The sequence below is a fragment of the Homo sapiens genome, chromosome 17, assembly GCF_000001405.40.
Source record: "Homo sapiens chromosome 17, GRCh38.p14 Primary Assembly".
Lineage (NCBI taxonomy): Eukaryota > Metazoa > Chordata > Mammalia > Primates > Hominidae > Homo > Homo sapiens.
Window position 1 is genome coordinate 40,241,527 of NC_000017.11, and position 13,275 is coordinate 40,254,801.

The following is a 13,275-nucleotide window of genomic DNA, read 5'->3' on the forward strand; positions in this document are numbered from 1 at the left end:
TGGGCTTGTGTGACTTCATTTTTTTTAGTCAGCGTCTCTAAACCCGCTCCTGGGATGTACAGGGGAGGAAATACTAGTTATGAACATTGAGCTGCTCTGCACCAATTTACTAAGTCCAGGAATCAGTGTTTTTGGTGAAATGGAAAATTGACTCAGGCTTTGAAAACAGATGTCCTAATCTGCCTTGGGTTTATGCAGCGTCATTTTTGGAGATGTTGAAGCACTGTGATTTGAAGTTTGTTTTTAACTTTACAATCAAAAGGACACAATTCTCCCTTTTGTATTATAGATTCCTACGCCTAGAAAAGAAAAAGGGTTGTATCTTTTGCTGCCAGTCTGTAAAGTATCTGGAAATGTGTTTGCAGCTGCTCCTTGGTTGTGAATTGCTTAGAGGTTAAGAGCCAAATAGTACTTGTCTTAGCAGTGTTGCAGAGGCTAACTGTGGTACCCTAGTTCTCAGTTCTTGGAAATCTTGTGGCTGTTATTAACTAAAATACAGCTGAGGAGGCCATGTTGGCTCTGACATAGAGTTGATTTGCATTCTAAGATGAGCAGCTCTATAGAAATAGCTGTAATACAATTTTACAACTTCCATTGAAACAGTTTTTTGGAAGGCTATGGCAGGAGGATTGTTTGAGGTCAGGAGTTTGAGACTGGCCTGAGCAACATAGTGAGATCCTGTCTTTGCAATCAAAATAAAACGATTAGCTGGATGTGGTAGTCCCAGCTACTCGGGAGGCTGAGGTGAGAAGATTGCTTGAGCCTGGGAGGTTAAGGCTGCAGTGAGCTGTGATTGTGCCACTTGCACTGCAATCTGGGTTGTAGGGTGAGACCCTTTCTCAAGGAAGAAAGAAAGAAAAACCAAGAAATTTTTTGTTGTTGTTGTTGTTGTTGGTTTGTTTTTTGAGACAGTCTCACTCTGTTACCCAGTGGCACAATCTCAGCTCGCTGCAACCTCCGCCTGCCGAGTTCAAGTGATTCTCCTGCCTCAGCCTCCCGAGTAGCTGGGATTACAGGCGCCCGCCGCCACGCCTGGCTAATTTTTTTGTATTTTTAGTACAGACGGGGTTTCACCATGTTGGCCAGGCCGGTCTCAAACTCCTGACCTTAGGTAATCCACCTGCCTCGGCCTTCCAGAGTGCTGGGATTACAGGCATGAGCCACTGTGCCTGGCCAAGAAACAGTTTTGATGAACAAAGTCACAAAAACAAAGCTACATCGAAAGTGTTATTGTCTCATTGATTATTGGTCACTGGCTGTGTTATAAGGCATGACTTTGAACTATTACTGATTTACTGCAGTTGACTATTTTCTGTACACGTCCGCCTATCTCCCAGTGCTGTACTTCAGTGCTTTCAGGATAATGAGATTTTTTCTTTGCCTTGAGGGGTTGGGCGTGAGGTCATTCCCTGACTTCTGTTTTGGATGATTTTCAGATATTTAATTTACATGGCTTTTGCATTAGTTATTCCTAGTCTGTCTTTTTAAATGAAGCTTTCTTTGCAGCTCTGGTTATTTAATTGAACACAGGAGTAGACTTCTCATTGATTTGTCATCATTTTAGATGAGAGGACTCAGCTCCTGGGCTGCCTTGTATCTGGGAATAACCCATAGTATCTAATATTTACCACATAAGGTAGTATATGAAGGTAGTCTTCCGAATTTACATTTTTAGGGCTTTAAAAAAATAATCTGGGGCTGGTCTGATGGTAGTGGGTTATCAGAGCTTATTAACATTAGTGTCACTGCAGTTGGTATACAAACCCCCCACTGCTAAATTTGACTGGCTTTAAAAAAAATCTGGGGGAAGAGGAAAGAGTCACATTAGTGGGGAAAGCTGCGTTTTGGGGATGCATTATGTTTTTGTTAAAAAAATATGTTTGAAAGAATTTCATCATTCAGTAGTTATATCTTCTTCCTCCTTCATTTTCTCTTTCAGAGAGGAGTAAAACATCCAGGTTTCATTTGTTGTAGAAGTCCTAGGATTTTTCAGGTTTTTTTTTTTAAGACAGAGTCTTGCTCTGTCGCCCAGGCTGGAGTGCAATGGTGCCATCTCGGCTCACTGCAACCTCTGCCTACCGGGTTCAAGCAATTCTCCTGCCTCAGCCTCCTGAGTAGCTGGGATTACAGGCATACGCCACCACACCCGGCTAATTTTGTATTTTTTTTTTTTAAGTAGAGATGGGGTTTCTCTGTATTGGCCAGGCTGGTCTAAAACTCCTGACCTCGGGTGATCCACCCACCTCCACCTCCCAAAGTGCTGGGATTACAGGAGTGAGCCACCACGCCCGGCCCGATTTTTCAGTTTTAATATTCATGATGGTTATGTGATTTTTTTTATTACTTGTTGGATCAGTCAGATTTGCTGCATAGTTGAATTTCTGTGATGAAAATTTCTGTAGTTGAAAAATTTTTTTCCCTTAAGTAACCTTGGAATTTTAATTAATTCCATCTCTACATGTGATAGAAATCTGTTTCACCAGAGGTTTGACTGAATTGAATTTCAAGAAGTGGTGGCACTTTCTCCATTGAGAGGAGAGGGCTGTGAGCTATAGAAAAAGCCTTTTTTTGGAGTGGTAGTGGTAAAATGTGTGTAACATGAATGTTATTCTAGTCTGTTTCCTTGTACTTTAGAGAAACCAGAAACACTTTAGTGGAAACCCTCTGTTATAGTCTGTCCTAGAACACATGGAGGCAAGTTTTTCATTCCTCTTGACATTATTCCCTGTGTGATTATAGGAACCTGTTTGGTTCCTGCCGTTGTTGGCTCCTGGAGTGGCATGTGACTACTCTTAGGCAGCTCCTGGCTCTTTTCTCATTTTGGGGTTCTTTGGCCTAGGGACTGGATGCCATTATGCCATTGTAGTAATGAGCTCCTACCTCCCATGCTGGATTGCTTTTCAGGAGCAAAGCTGAAGGACAGCTGAACAGGTGGGCAGATTACCAACAGGTGACTTTTAACCCTGGAAGGCCTTCAGTTAGTACTTAGTCTCTGGATGAGATTAAGCCAGGAGATCAAGTATAGTCTGTGGGATTAATGAGATAACCGATCGAACTTCTGGTTTGAGTGTGAAGCTGTCGGTTCATTTAGGTTTCTTTGGTTTTACAGTGTTGGTGTATTGGACAGAGAAGGGGACTACTTTTGGATTTGGAGGATGGCCTATATATAAAGCCTCAGATTTCATCTCTTCTCACTCTGTTCTAGCTATCCTGGTCTTTTTACTAGTTCTCTAACACACCAACTACATTCCCATGTTAGAATTTTTTCACTTGCTGTTATTTCTTTTCGGAATGCTCTTTCCCCAGATGTTTACATGGCATGCTCTGCTCATGGAGAGACTTCTTGGGAGAGCCAGATACTCTCCCCCAATGGCCCTTTCCCTGTGACTGTATTATTTTATCATTATTATTACTATTTTGTTGTTGTCGTGGTTAAATTCTCCTAGATCCTGAAGCCTGCAACCCTATCCAAAGGAAGACTCTAACCTGGGCAGCTGTAGTCCCAGCTACTGGGGAGGCTGAGGCTGGAGGATTGCTTAAGCCCAGACGTTCAAGACCAGCTTAGGCAACATAGTCTGGACAATCTATCTCTAAAAAATAAATAAGTAAAACAAAAGAACATTCCAGTCTATTCCTATACTCTACCTTTATGATTCTCTGTTTTTTTTACTCCTTTTATCAGTAACTGTTATACTGAGATTTTATTTCTTCCTTCTTACACTAGAATGTAAGCTCCAAGACAGTAGACGCTTGTCTTGCTCATCTTCTAGAACAGGGCTTAGCAACCTCAGCATTGTTGACAATGTAGACCAGATAATTCTTTTTTTTTTTTTTGAGATGGAGTCCCGTTCTGTCGCCCAGGCTGGAGCGCAGTGGCACGATCTCAGCTTACTGCAACCTCCACCTCCCGGGTTCAAGTGATTCTCCTGCCTCAGCCTCCTGAGTAGCTGGGATTACAGGCGCCCGCCACCATGCTTGGCTGACTTTTATATTTTTAGTAGAGACAGGGTTTCACCATGTTGGCCAGGTTGGTCTTGAACTCCTGACCTCAAGTGATCTACCCGCCTCGGCCTCCCAAAGTGTTGGGATTACAGGTGTGAGCCACTGCACCTGTCCTGACCAGATAATTCTTTGTTGTGGGCGGCTGTCTTATGCGTTGGAGGATGTTGAGCAGCATCCTTGTTTTCTATTCACTAGATGCCAGCAGCACTCCCTACCCTAGTTGTGACAAATATGTCAATGACATTGTCAATGACTCTGGGGAACAAAATCCCTCCTGGTTGAGAGCCATTGTTCTAGAAAAATACTTTGGCACTCAGTGGGTGCTTCAATATTTATTAAGTGGTTAAGTTGTGGATACTTAATTGGATGATGGATGCATGAGTGCATTCAGCATATTAAAATTTTTTGGAGCATTGAACAACACGTATAGCCTTGTGTTTCTTTCTTTCCTCTTTTCATAGATATCTCCATTCTTCTGTCTGTTTTCTGTTTCTGGCATGTTGATCCATTCCTTGCTGCATTTTCCTCCACCCAGACTTGCTTGCTCTTTTAGACAATGCTACTCTTTTTTTTTTTTTTTTCCTGAGTCTCACTGTTGCCCAGGCTGGAGTGCAGTGGCGTGATCTCGGCTCACTGCAACACCTTCCTCCCGGGTTCAAGCGATTCTCCTGCCTCAGCCTCCAGAGTAGCTGGGATTACAGGCGCGCACCACCACACCCAGCTAATTTTTGTGTTTTAGTAGAGATGGGGTTTCACCACGTTGGCCAGGCTGGTCTCGAACTCCAGACCTTAAGTGATCTGTCTGCCTCGGCCTCCCAAAGTGCTGGGATTACAGGCGTGAGCCACCGTGCCCTGCCTGTGCTGCTCATTTTTTTTTTTTTTTTTTTGAGACTGATTTTCATTCTTGTTGCCTAGGCTGGAGTGCAATGGCACAGTCTCGGCTCACTGCAACCTCCACCTCCTGGGTTCAACGATTCTCCTGCCTCAAGCCTCCCAAGTAGCCAGGATAACAGGCACCTGACACCACGCCCAACCAATTTTTGTATTTTTAGTAGAGATGGTTTCACTATGTTGGCCAGGTTGGTCTTGAACTCCTGACCTCAAATGATCCGCCTGCCTTAGCCTCCCAAAGTGCTGGGATTACAGGTGTGAGCCACTGCGCCTGGCTAGGCCTGTGCTACTCTTATATTTACTTTTGTTCAATTCAGCAAGTGACTGCTGAGCAGCTACGGTATGCTGTAGAATAATGAGAGAGAACCCTAGAAAGATATGGTACTGTCTGTGCTTAAGAACTCATTTGTTGGCCGGGCGTGGCGACTCATGCCTGTAATCCCAGACTTTGGGAGGCCGAGGTGGGCGGATCACGACATCAGTAGTTCGAGTCCAGTCTGGCCAACATAGTGAAACCCCGTCTCTACTAAAAATACAAGAAATTAGCCGGGTGTGGTGGTGTGCGCCTATAATCCCAGCTACTTGGAAGGCTGAGGCAGGAGAATTGCATGAACCTGGGAGGTGGAGGAGGTTGCAGTGAGCCGAGATCGTGCCATTGCACTCCAACCTGGGTGACAGTGCGATACTCCGTCTCAAAACAAACAAACAAAAACACAAAAACAACTCGCTTGTTAAAATGGACATAGGTGTATGAAATGTTCCTCGAAAATTTAATTCTTATTTCAGGGTTTTTTTTTTTTTTTTTTTTTTTTTTTTGAGACAGGATCTTGCTCTGTTGCCCAGGCTAGAGTGCAGTGGCACAATCTCAGCTCACTGCAACCTCCAGCTCCCGGGTTCAAGCGATTCTCCTGCTTCAGCCTCCCAAGGTAGCTAGGATTACAGGTGCGTGCCACCAAGCCTGGCTAATTTTTGTATTTTTAGTAGGGATGGGGTTTCACCATGTTGGCCAGGCTAGTCTCGAACTCCTGACCTCAAGTGATCCACCTGCCTCGGCCTCCCAAAGTGCTGGGATTACGGGCGTGAGCCAACGCGCCTGGCCTTTTTTTTTTTTACTTTTTTTGAGACAGAGTCTTACTCCTTCACCCAGGCTGGAGTGCAGTGGTGCAATCTCAGCTCACTGCAGCCTCCACCTCCTGGGTTCAAGTGATTCTCGTGCCTCAGCCTCCCGAGTAGCTGGAGTTACAGGCGTTTGCCACCATGCCTGGCTAATTTTTGTATTTTTAGTAGAGATGGGGTTTCACCAACTTGACCAGGCTGGTCTCAAACTCCTGACCTCAAGCAGTCCACCCCCCTTGGCCTCTCAAATGCTGGGATTATAGGCTGAGCCAGTGCACCCAGCCTCAGGATAATGTTTAAATTGATACTAATGGGCCACCATAGGGTTAAGTTAGTAATTGTTAAATACTTATCAGAATGGGTGAAATTGCTGTCGAATTTAGAATCCAGTTTTAACAAAACCTACCCATTCAATTTTTACTTATTTTCATTTGTTGCAATTGTCTTTGGTTTCTTGCTGTTAATTCTATTTTTGTCTGAAACCTGGTTGAAAAATATACAAAGTGGACTTGGTCATTTTGAACTTTTTGTTTGATGTGAATGTTCTTGGGGTTGGTTGTTGTATTGAAAGGTTGTGAAAAGCTGATACATCAGTTTTTTTTTTTAATAAAAATTTAAAAGTTATTTCTTTTTTTTTTTTTTTTTTTTTTTTTTTGAGACTCTCTGTTGCCCAGGCTGGAGTGCTGTTGCACAATCTTGGCTCACTGCAACTTCTGCCTCCCAGGTTCAAGTGATTCTCGCACTTCAGCCTCCCAAATAGCTGGGATTATAAGCACCCGCCACCGTGCCTGGCTAATTTTTTTTATAATTTTAGTAGAGATGGGGGTTCCACCATGTTGGCCAGGCTGGTCTCAAACTCCTGACTTCAAGAGATCCGTCCGCCTCGGCCTCCCAAAGTGCTGGGATTATAGGCGTCAGCCACTGTGCCTGGCCTAAAAAATATTTCTTATTAAATAGAGACAAGGTCTCACTTTGTTACCCAGGCTGGTCTCTAAGCACATTCGATCCTTCTGCCTCAGTCTCTCAAAGTGCTGGGATTGCAGGCTTGAGCCATAATGCCCTGCCTGACTCTCTTTCTACCAAACATTTATGTTTCATCTCTGATGCTGTTAGAGAGATTTCATTTGATTTGAACTATGGGATCAGAAGAATTCCATTAGGGAGGAGTGTCTGGAATCTTTTTCTTTTGAAGACACAACTGTCTTCTCCTTAGATTATCTGGGAGATAGAGTAGTCAAAGCTGTTGTGGTTTTTTCAGAGAGGATCCTGAAATTTGTTTTACCTATCTCTGTTTCTTTGTATTGAGAAATGGTTTATTAGGATATTAAGTAATTAAACATATATTGAAGAAATAAAGATGATTTTCTTTTTGATATCTCAGATTCCTATTCATATGACTGATTCTTGTAAGGAAGGACTGGGACCTTAAGATTTTGCTGAGTGAGGGAGGTGGCCTGTTTTTTTAAGGTCAGTTTTTTTCCCTTTTGGGATTTTGTTCAGTGCTTTGATACAAAAACTGTAATTTACTTTGTAGTCAAAACTGAGATCAAAGGAAAGTACTGTTACCTGAGGCATGAAAATAGAAGATAGCATTAAGATTTAGAATTTTTCTTGATTTTCGTGTCTTTTTAAAATAACTTGCAATTGAAACCTGAGTTTTAGAGCAGCAGAATGCCATTTGAATAAAGGCCCCAGATTGTAGTGGTAACTAGGATACCTCTTAGATAATTTTAAGTGTACGAGAAAAGCAAGAACTAAACTGGATTCTTCATTTATCACGTGTAAAGGGTAGTAGTTGGTGTCTTTGTACTAAGGAAGTCTCCTGTTTTTAAAATGTAGGAATATTTGGAGTGAAACATTAGGAAATTGAATAGAAAAATAGGCTTTGTCTTTTTAAAGATGGATAGAAGGAAGCAGTTTTTTTTTTTTTTGAGATGGCTCTTCGCTCTTGTTGCCCAGGCTAGAGTGCAATGGCGCAATCTTGGCTCACTGCAACCTCTGTCTGCCTCCTGGGTTCAAGCGGTTCTCCTGCCTCAGCCTCCCGAGTAGCTGGGATTACAGGCATGCACCACCATGCCCGGCTAATTTTGTATGTTTGGTAGAGACAGGGTTACTCCATGTTGGTCAGGCTGGTCTTGAACTCCTGACCTCAGGTGATCTGCCTGCCTCGGCCTCCCAAAGTGCTGGGATTACAGGTGTGAGCCACCGCACCCTGCCAGGAAGCAGTTTTTAAAAGTGCATTACTTGAGTTTTATCAAGACTTATTTCTGAATTCTGTGATGAATTTGACATCAGGAAGATTTTTTTTTTTTTTTGAGATGGAGTCTCGCACTGTCACCTGGGCTGGAGTGCGGTGACGTGACCTTGGCTAACTGCAACCTCCGCCTCCCGGGTTCAAGCAATTCTCCTGCCTCAGCCTCTGGAGTAGCTGGGACTACAGGCACCTGCCACCATGCCTGGCTAATTTTTTGTATTTTTACTAGAGACAGGGTTTCACCATGTTGCCCAGGCTGGTCTCGATCTCCTGACCTTGTGATCTGCCCGCCTCAGCCCCCCAGAGTGCTGGGATTACAGGCCTGAGCCACCCTGCTGGACCGGACATCAGGAAGATTTTAAATAATACTCTCTGGTGTTTATTTTTAAGATATTGACTCCTGAGGATGTGCAAAGCGAATTTTATCATGTTTTTTTTTTTTTTTTTTTTTTTTTTTTGAGACAAAGTCTCGCTCTGTCAACCCAAGCTGGCGTGCAGTGGCGCATTCTCGGCTCACTGCAAGCTCTGCCTCCCGGGTTCACGCCATTCTTCTGCCTCAGCCTTCTGAGTAGCTGGGACTACAGGTGCCCGCTGCCATGCCCGGCTAATTTTTTGTATTTTTGTATTTTTTTTTTTTTTTTAGTAGAGACAGGGTTTCACCGTGTTGGACAAGATGGTCTCTATCTCCTGACCTTGTGATCCGCCCACCTCGGCCTCCCAAAGTGCTGGGATTCCAGGCGTGAGCCACCACACCCGGCCTTTATCTTGGTTTTTAAGATGGAAGGGCTTAAGAAAGGAATGAGAATTACTGTGTTTCCGAACTTGAGGCAGCCTCAAGATGTTTCTGAAAGTCAAGGTCTCTGAAGAGCACAGATGGTGAGGTTTGTAGTTCTAATTTAATAGATCAGAAAGGAAATACTTAAAATTCTGTAGAGAACCTTCTTGTTCTTTTCTAAATTTAATCTCAGGTTTAACCTCAAGACCATTAGATTCTTAGCTGCACGTGGTGGTGCTCACTTGTAGTCCTATCTTCTCGGGAGGCTGAGGCAGAAGGATCACTGGAGCCCAGGAGTTTGAGGTTACAGTGAGCTATGATGGTGCCAGTACACGTTAGCTATTAGATTCTTTTTTTTTTTTTTTTTTTTTTTGAGTCTCGCTTTGTCACCTAGGCTGGAGTGCAGTGGCGCAATCTCGGCTCACTGCCAGCTCCGCCTCCTGGGTTCATGCTATTCTCCTGCCTCAGCCTCCCGAGTAGCTGGGACTACAGGCGCCCGCCACCACGCCCAGCTAATTTTTTATGTTTCTTAGTAGAGACGGGGTTTCACTGTGTTAGCCAGGATGGTCTCAATCTCCTGACCTTGTGATCCGCCCTCCTCGGCCTCCCAAAGTGCTGGGATTACAGGCGTGAGCCACTGCGTCCAGCCTATTAGATTCTTAGTATTGCAATAGACAGTGCTTCCAGAAGGCTCAAATTTGTCCTTTGATTAATCACAGTTGGTTAGTGAAATTTGTCTTTCTGTTGTCAAATGTTATGAATTGTTTTGGTTCATTTTTTTTTTTTTTTAACTCAAAGTAGTTCTCAAAGCAGACCCTCTGCATTGGATTAGCGATTATAAGTCTCAGTCCTAATTTGATGTAAACAAAAAGCTTCTTTTGGGAGTTTTTCAGGGAAAGGAAAGTTGTTTTAATTTGAATTCACCTAAATGGGGCTGTTCTTGGAAACATATAGAGAACTGTTTGTATTCTATAACTAAGAAATTTGGAATGAGTTAAATTTCATTTGGGGAAAAATAGAAAATTGCTAAACCACACTAATTTCCAGGGGAGTTTTTTGTTTGTTTTCTCCATAGTGATTAGTGAAAAGGAAGAAGTCAGGAGACCTGGATATGAGGCCTAACTCTGCACTTTATTCCTGAGTGATCTTGGGCAGTTGCCCTTTGATGAGTCAGTTTTTCTCATGTACATGTAGGCACTCCCACTCCTGGGACTTCAGTGTCCTCACCATAAAATGGGAAGGATAATACATCATTATGTAATAAATGTCATTGATAGGAGTGTGTCATGCATACAATCCCTGTGGAGCCAGAAGAAAGCTTGAGAGCCACTGTTGGTAGTCAACACTAAAGTCAGTCACTTGATATAGATGGTGTTTCTTTGATTTAACTTTTTTTATGTACTTAATTTTTTAAGGGGTCTTGCTGTGTTGCCTAGGCTGGATCCAAAAACAAAGGCTCAAGTGATCCTCCCTTCTTGGCCCCCTGAATAGCTGCAATTATAGGCAAGCGCCACTGATGAATCTGTTTTTCAATTAGAGTTTGAATTGAGTCTATTTTAGGAAGGCATCTTTAACTGTGTAATATATTGCTTAAAAAAAATTGCTATGCTAGAGAATTCCTGCTTTGCTTAAATAAGTGGAGCACACTGACAGGCATAAGGCTGTTCCTTTTAGGTCATTATTCACCTTGTAGCACGGAGATTGGATCACCTATGGACATGGAAAGAGTAAAGGACTTGTCTGAGTCTTTTTTGGGTCATTCTAGGAGATCCTTTCAATTATGGCAATGGCCAATGGCTGATAGAACTAGAAACCCAGGCCGGGCATGGTGGCTCACCCCTGTAATCCCAGCACTTTGGGTGGCCGAGGCGTGAGGATCATTTGAGGTCAGGAGTTTGAGACCAGCCTGGCTAACTTGGTGAAACCCCGTCTCTACTAAAAATACAGAAATTAGCTGGGTGTGGTGGCATGCGCCTGTAGTCCCAGCTGTTTGGGAGGTTGAGGCAGGAGAATCGCTTGAACCTGGGAGGAAGAGGTTGCAGCGAGCCGAGATGATGTTACTGTACTCCAGCCTAGGCAACAGAGACTCTGTCTCAAAAAAAAAAAAAACTAGAAACCTCCTCAAAAAGGCAGGACCTCTGGTGACTGGAATTAGTTGAAAATGTTTGTTTCTGAATCAACTGTTATTTTCCCTGGTTTGTTTGGTTTTTTTTTTTGAGATGGAGTTTCGCTCTTGTTGCCCAGGCTGGAGTACAATGGCGCGATCTCGGCTCACCACAACCTCCGCCTTCCAGGTTCAAGCGATTCTCCTGCCTCAGCCTCCCTAGTAGCTGGGATTGTAATCCCATGTGCCACCATGCCTGGCTAATTTTGTATTTTTAGTAGAGATGGGGTTTCTTCCATGTTGGTCAGGCTGGTCTCGAACTCCTGGCCTCAGGTGATCTGCCCGCCTCAGCCTCCCAGAGTGCTAAGATTACAGGCATTAGCCACCGCGCCTGGACTTTTTTTTTTTTTTTGAGATGGAGTCTCACTCTGTCACCCAGGCTGGAGTGCAGTGGTGTGATCTCGGCTTACTGCAAGCTCCGTCTCCCAGGTTCACGCCATTCTCCTGCCTCAGGCTCCCAAGTAGCTGGGACTACAGGTGTCTGCCACCACACCCAGCTAATTTTTTGTATTTTTAGTAGAGACAGGGTTTCACTGTGTTAGCCAGGATGGTCTCCATCTCCTGACCTCATGATCTGCCCGCCTTGGCCTCCCAAAGTGCTGGGATTACAGGCGTGAGCCACCGCGCCCGGCCTATTTTCCCCTTTGTTTCCTACTAGCTTTCTTTGCTAATGCTGTGGGCACTTTGGAATGGAATGGTCACAGTAAACCCAGGGGATGCAAAGAAAAGAAAGGTTTTGTTTGTTGGTTTTTCTACTTCTTGTGTTTTCTTTATTTTAAATTCCTTTCCCCCACCTGGTGATAGATGTTCTGCTTATGATTTACTGTTTCGATCAATTTTTAAAGCCTCGTATGTTAAACGCCTGGCAAAGAAAGACTGCCCTTGGTTTTGAAAGCAGAAATAAAAAGGTATTTCCCTTGGAGGGAATTTATCGGCTTATTTCTTGAAGTGAGTACAGACACCATTCCCCACAGGAACCACTTAGCCTGAGGACTGTCCATTTTTTTGTGGTTAGAGGAAATAGCTCTGTTGGGCAGCCAGCCTATAGTGGCATCACACTGGCAGGAGTTGGGATTTTGAAGACTTTTACTGTCTCATTTCTGATCAAATTCTACTCTCCTGCAGTGGTTTTTGGTTTTATAGAACTGTTGGAAAAATTTCCCTTTCCTTTCATCATTCCCAGAGCATTGAGAGAAGTATTAAATTACTGCATTATTGACAGAGAGGTTTTGGTCACCCATGTAAGGAGTTCAGAACCAGGCCTTCCCAGTGGGCTGCCATGCTGGTTTGATTTTTTTTTTTTTTTGAGACAGAGTCTCACTCTGTCATCCAGGTTGGAGTGCAGTGGTGCGTTCTGGGCTTACTGCAACCTCCGCCTCCCGGGTTCAAGCAACTCGGCTGCCTGAGCCTTCCAAGTAACTGGGATTACAGGTGTGCACAACCATGCCGGGCTAATTTTTGTATTTTTGGTAGAGATGGGATTTCACCATGTTGTCCAGACTGGTCTTGAACTCCTGGGCTCAAGCCGTCTTCCTTTCTCCATCTCCCAAAGTGTTGGGATTACAGGCATGAGCCACCATGCCTGGCCTCCTAATCTTATTAATAACCTTGCTTAGAAGCAGTTCTTCCATGGATTGATTGGTGAGGTTGGTTACCATCTTGAACCTTTCTTGTCATCTGTAAGTTGTACTCATGGTGGCCATGTTATTTTGGCTTCCATTTTTTGGGGGGAGGGGGTCAAAAAATGGGATTTCCTTAAAATGGCTTTGTGGGGGTAGTTATTGTTCTTGAGTTCTGGTTTTAGTCTGATCTGTAAAATGAGGATTACTTGCAGACTATAATAGAGGGGCAACTATATAGTTTTTGAGTTTTAAGTGTTTGGTGATCTGATAAATGGCTGTCAGATTCCAGGGATGTGACTATACCAGATGTTGGTAAACTGTGGCCCATAAGTCAGATCTGGTCTACAGCCTGTTTTTGTATGGCCCATAAACTAAGAATGATTTTTCCTTTTTTTTTTTGAGACAGAGTTTCGCTCTGTTGCCCAGGCTAGAGGGCAGTAGCACTTTCTTG

The 13,275-nt window shown here is 43.7% G+C and overlaps 1 protein-coding gene and 1 pseudogene across 9 annotated transcripts in view; both read left to right on the forward strand.

Annotated features, from left to right (window-relative positions):
• Window positions 1–13,275, forward strand: part of WIPF2 (WAS/WASL interacting protein family member 2) — a 64,833-nt gene that overhangs the window by 22,223 nt on the left and 29,335 nt on the right. Inside the window, exon 1 of one of the 9 annotated variants that reach the window (XM_047435496.1) lies at window positions 7,032–7,476. The exons of the other annotated variants lie outside the window; for them this stretch is intronic. The gene's annotated coding sequence lies outside the window, so the exon portion shown is untranslated. Of the gene's footprint in view, window positions 1–7,031; window positions 7,477–13,275 lie in introns of those variants that run through there. 9 annotated transcript variants of the gene reach the window in all.
• RNY4P8 (RNY4 pseudogene 8) lies at window positions 1,697–1,791 on the forward strand (annotated as a pseudogene).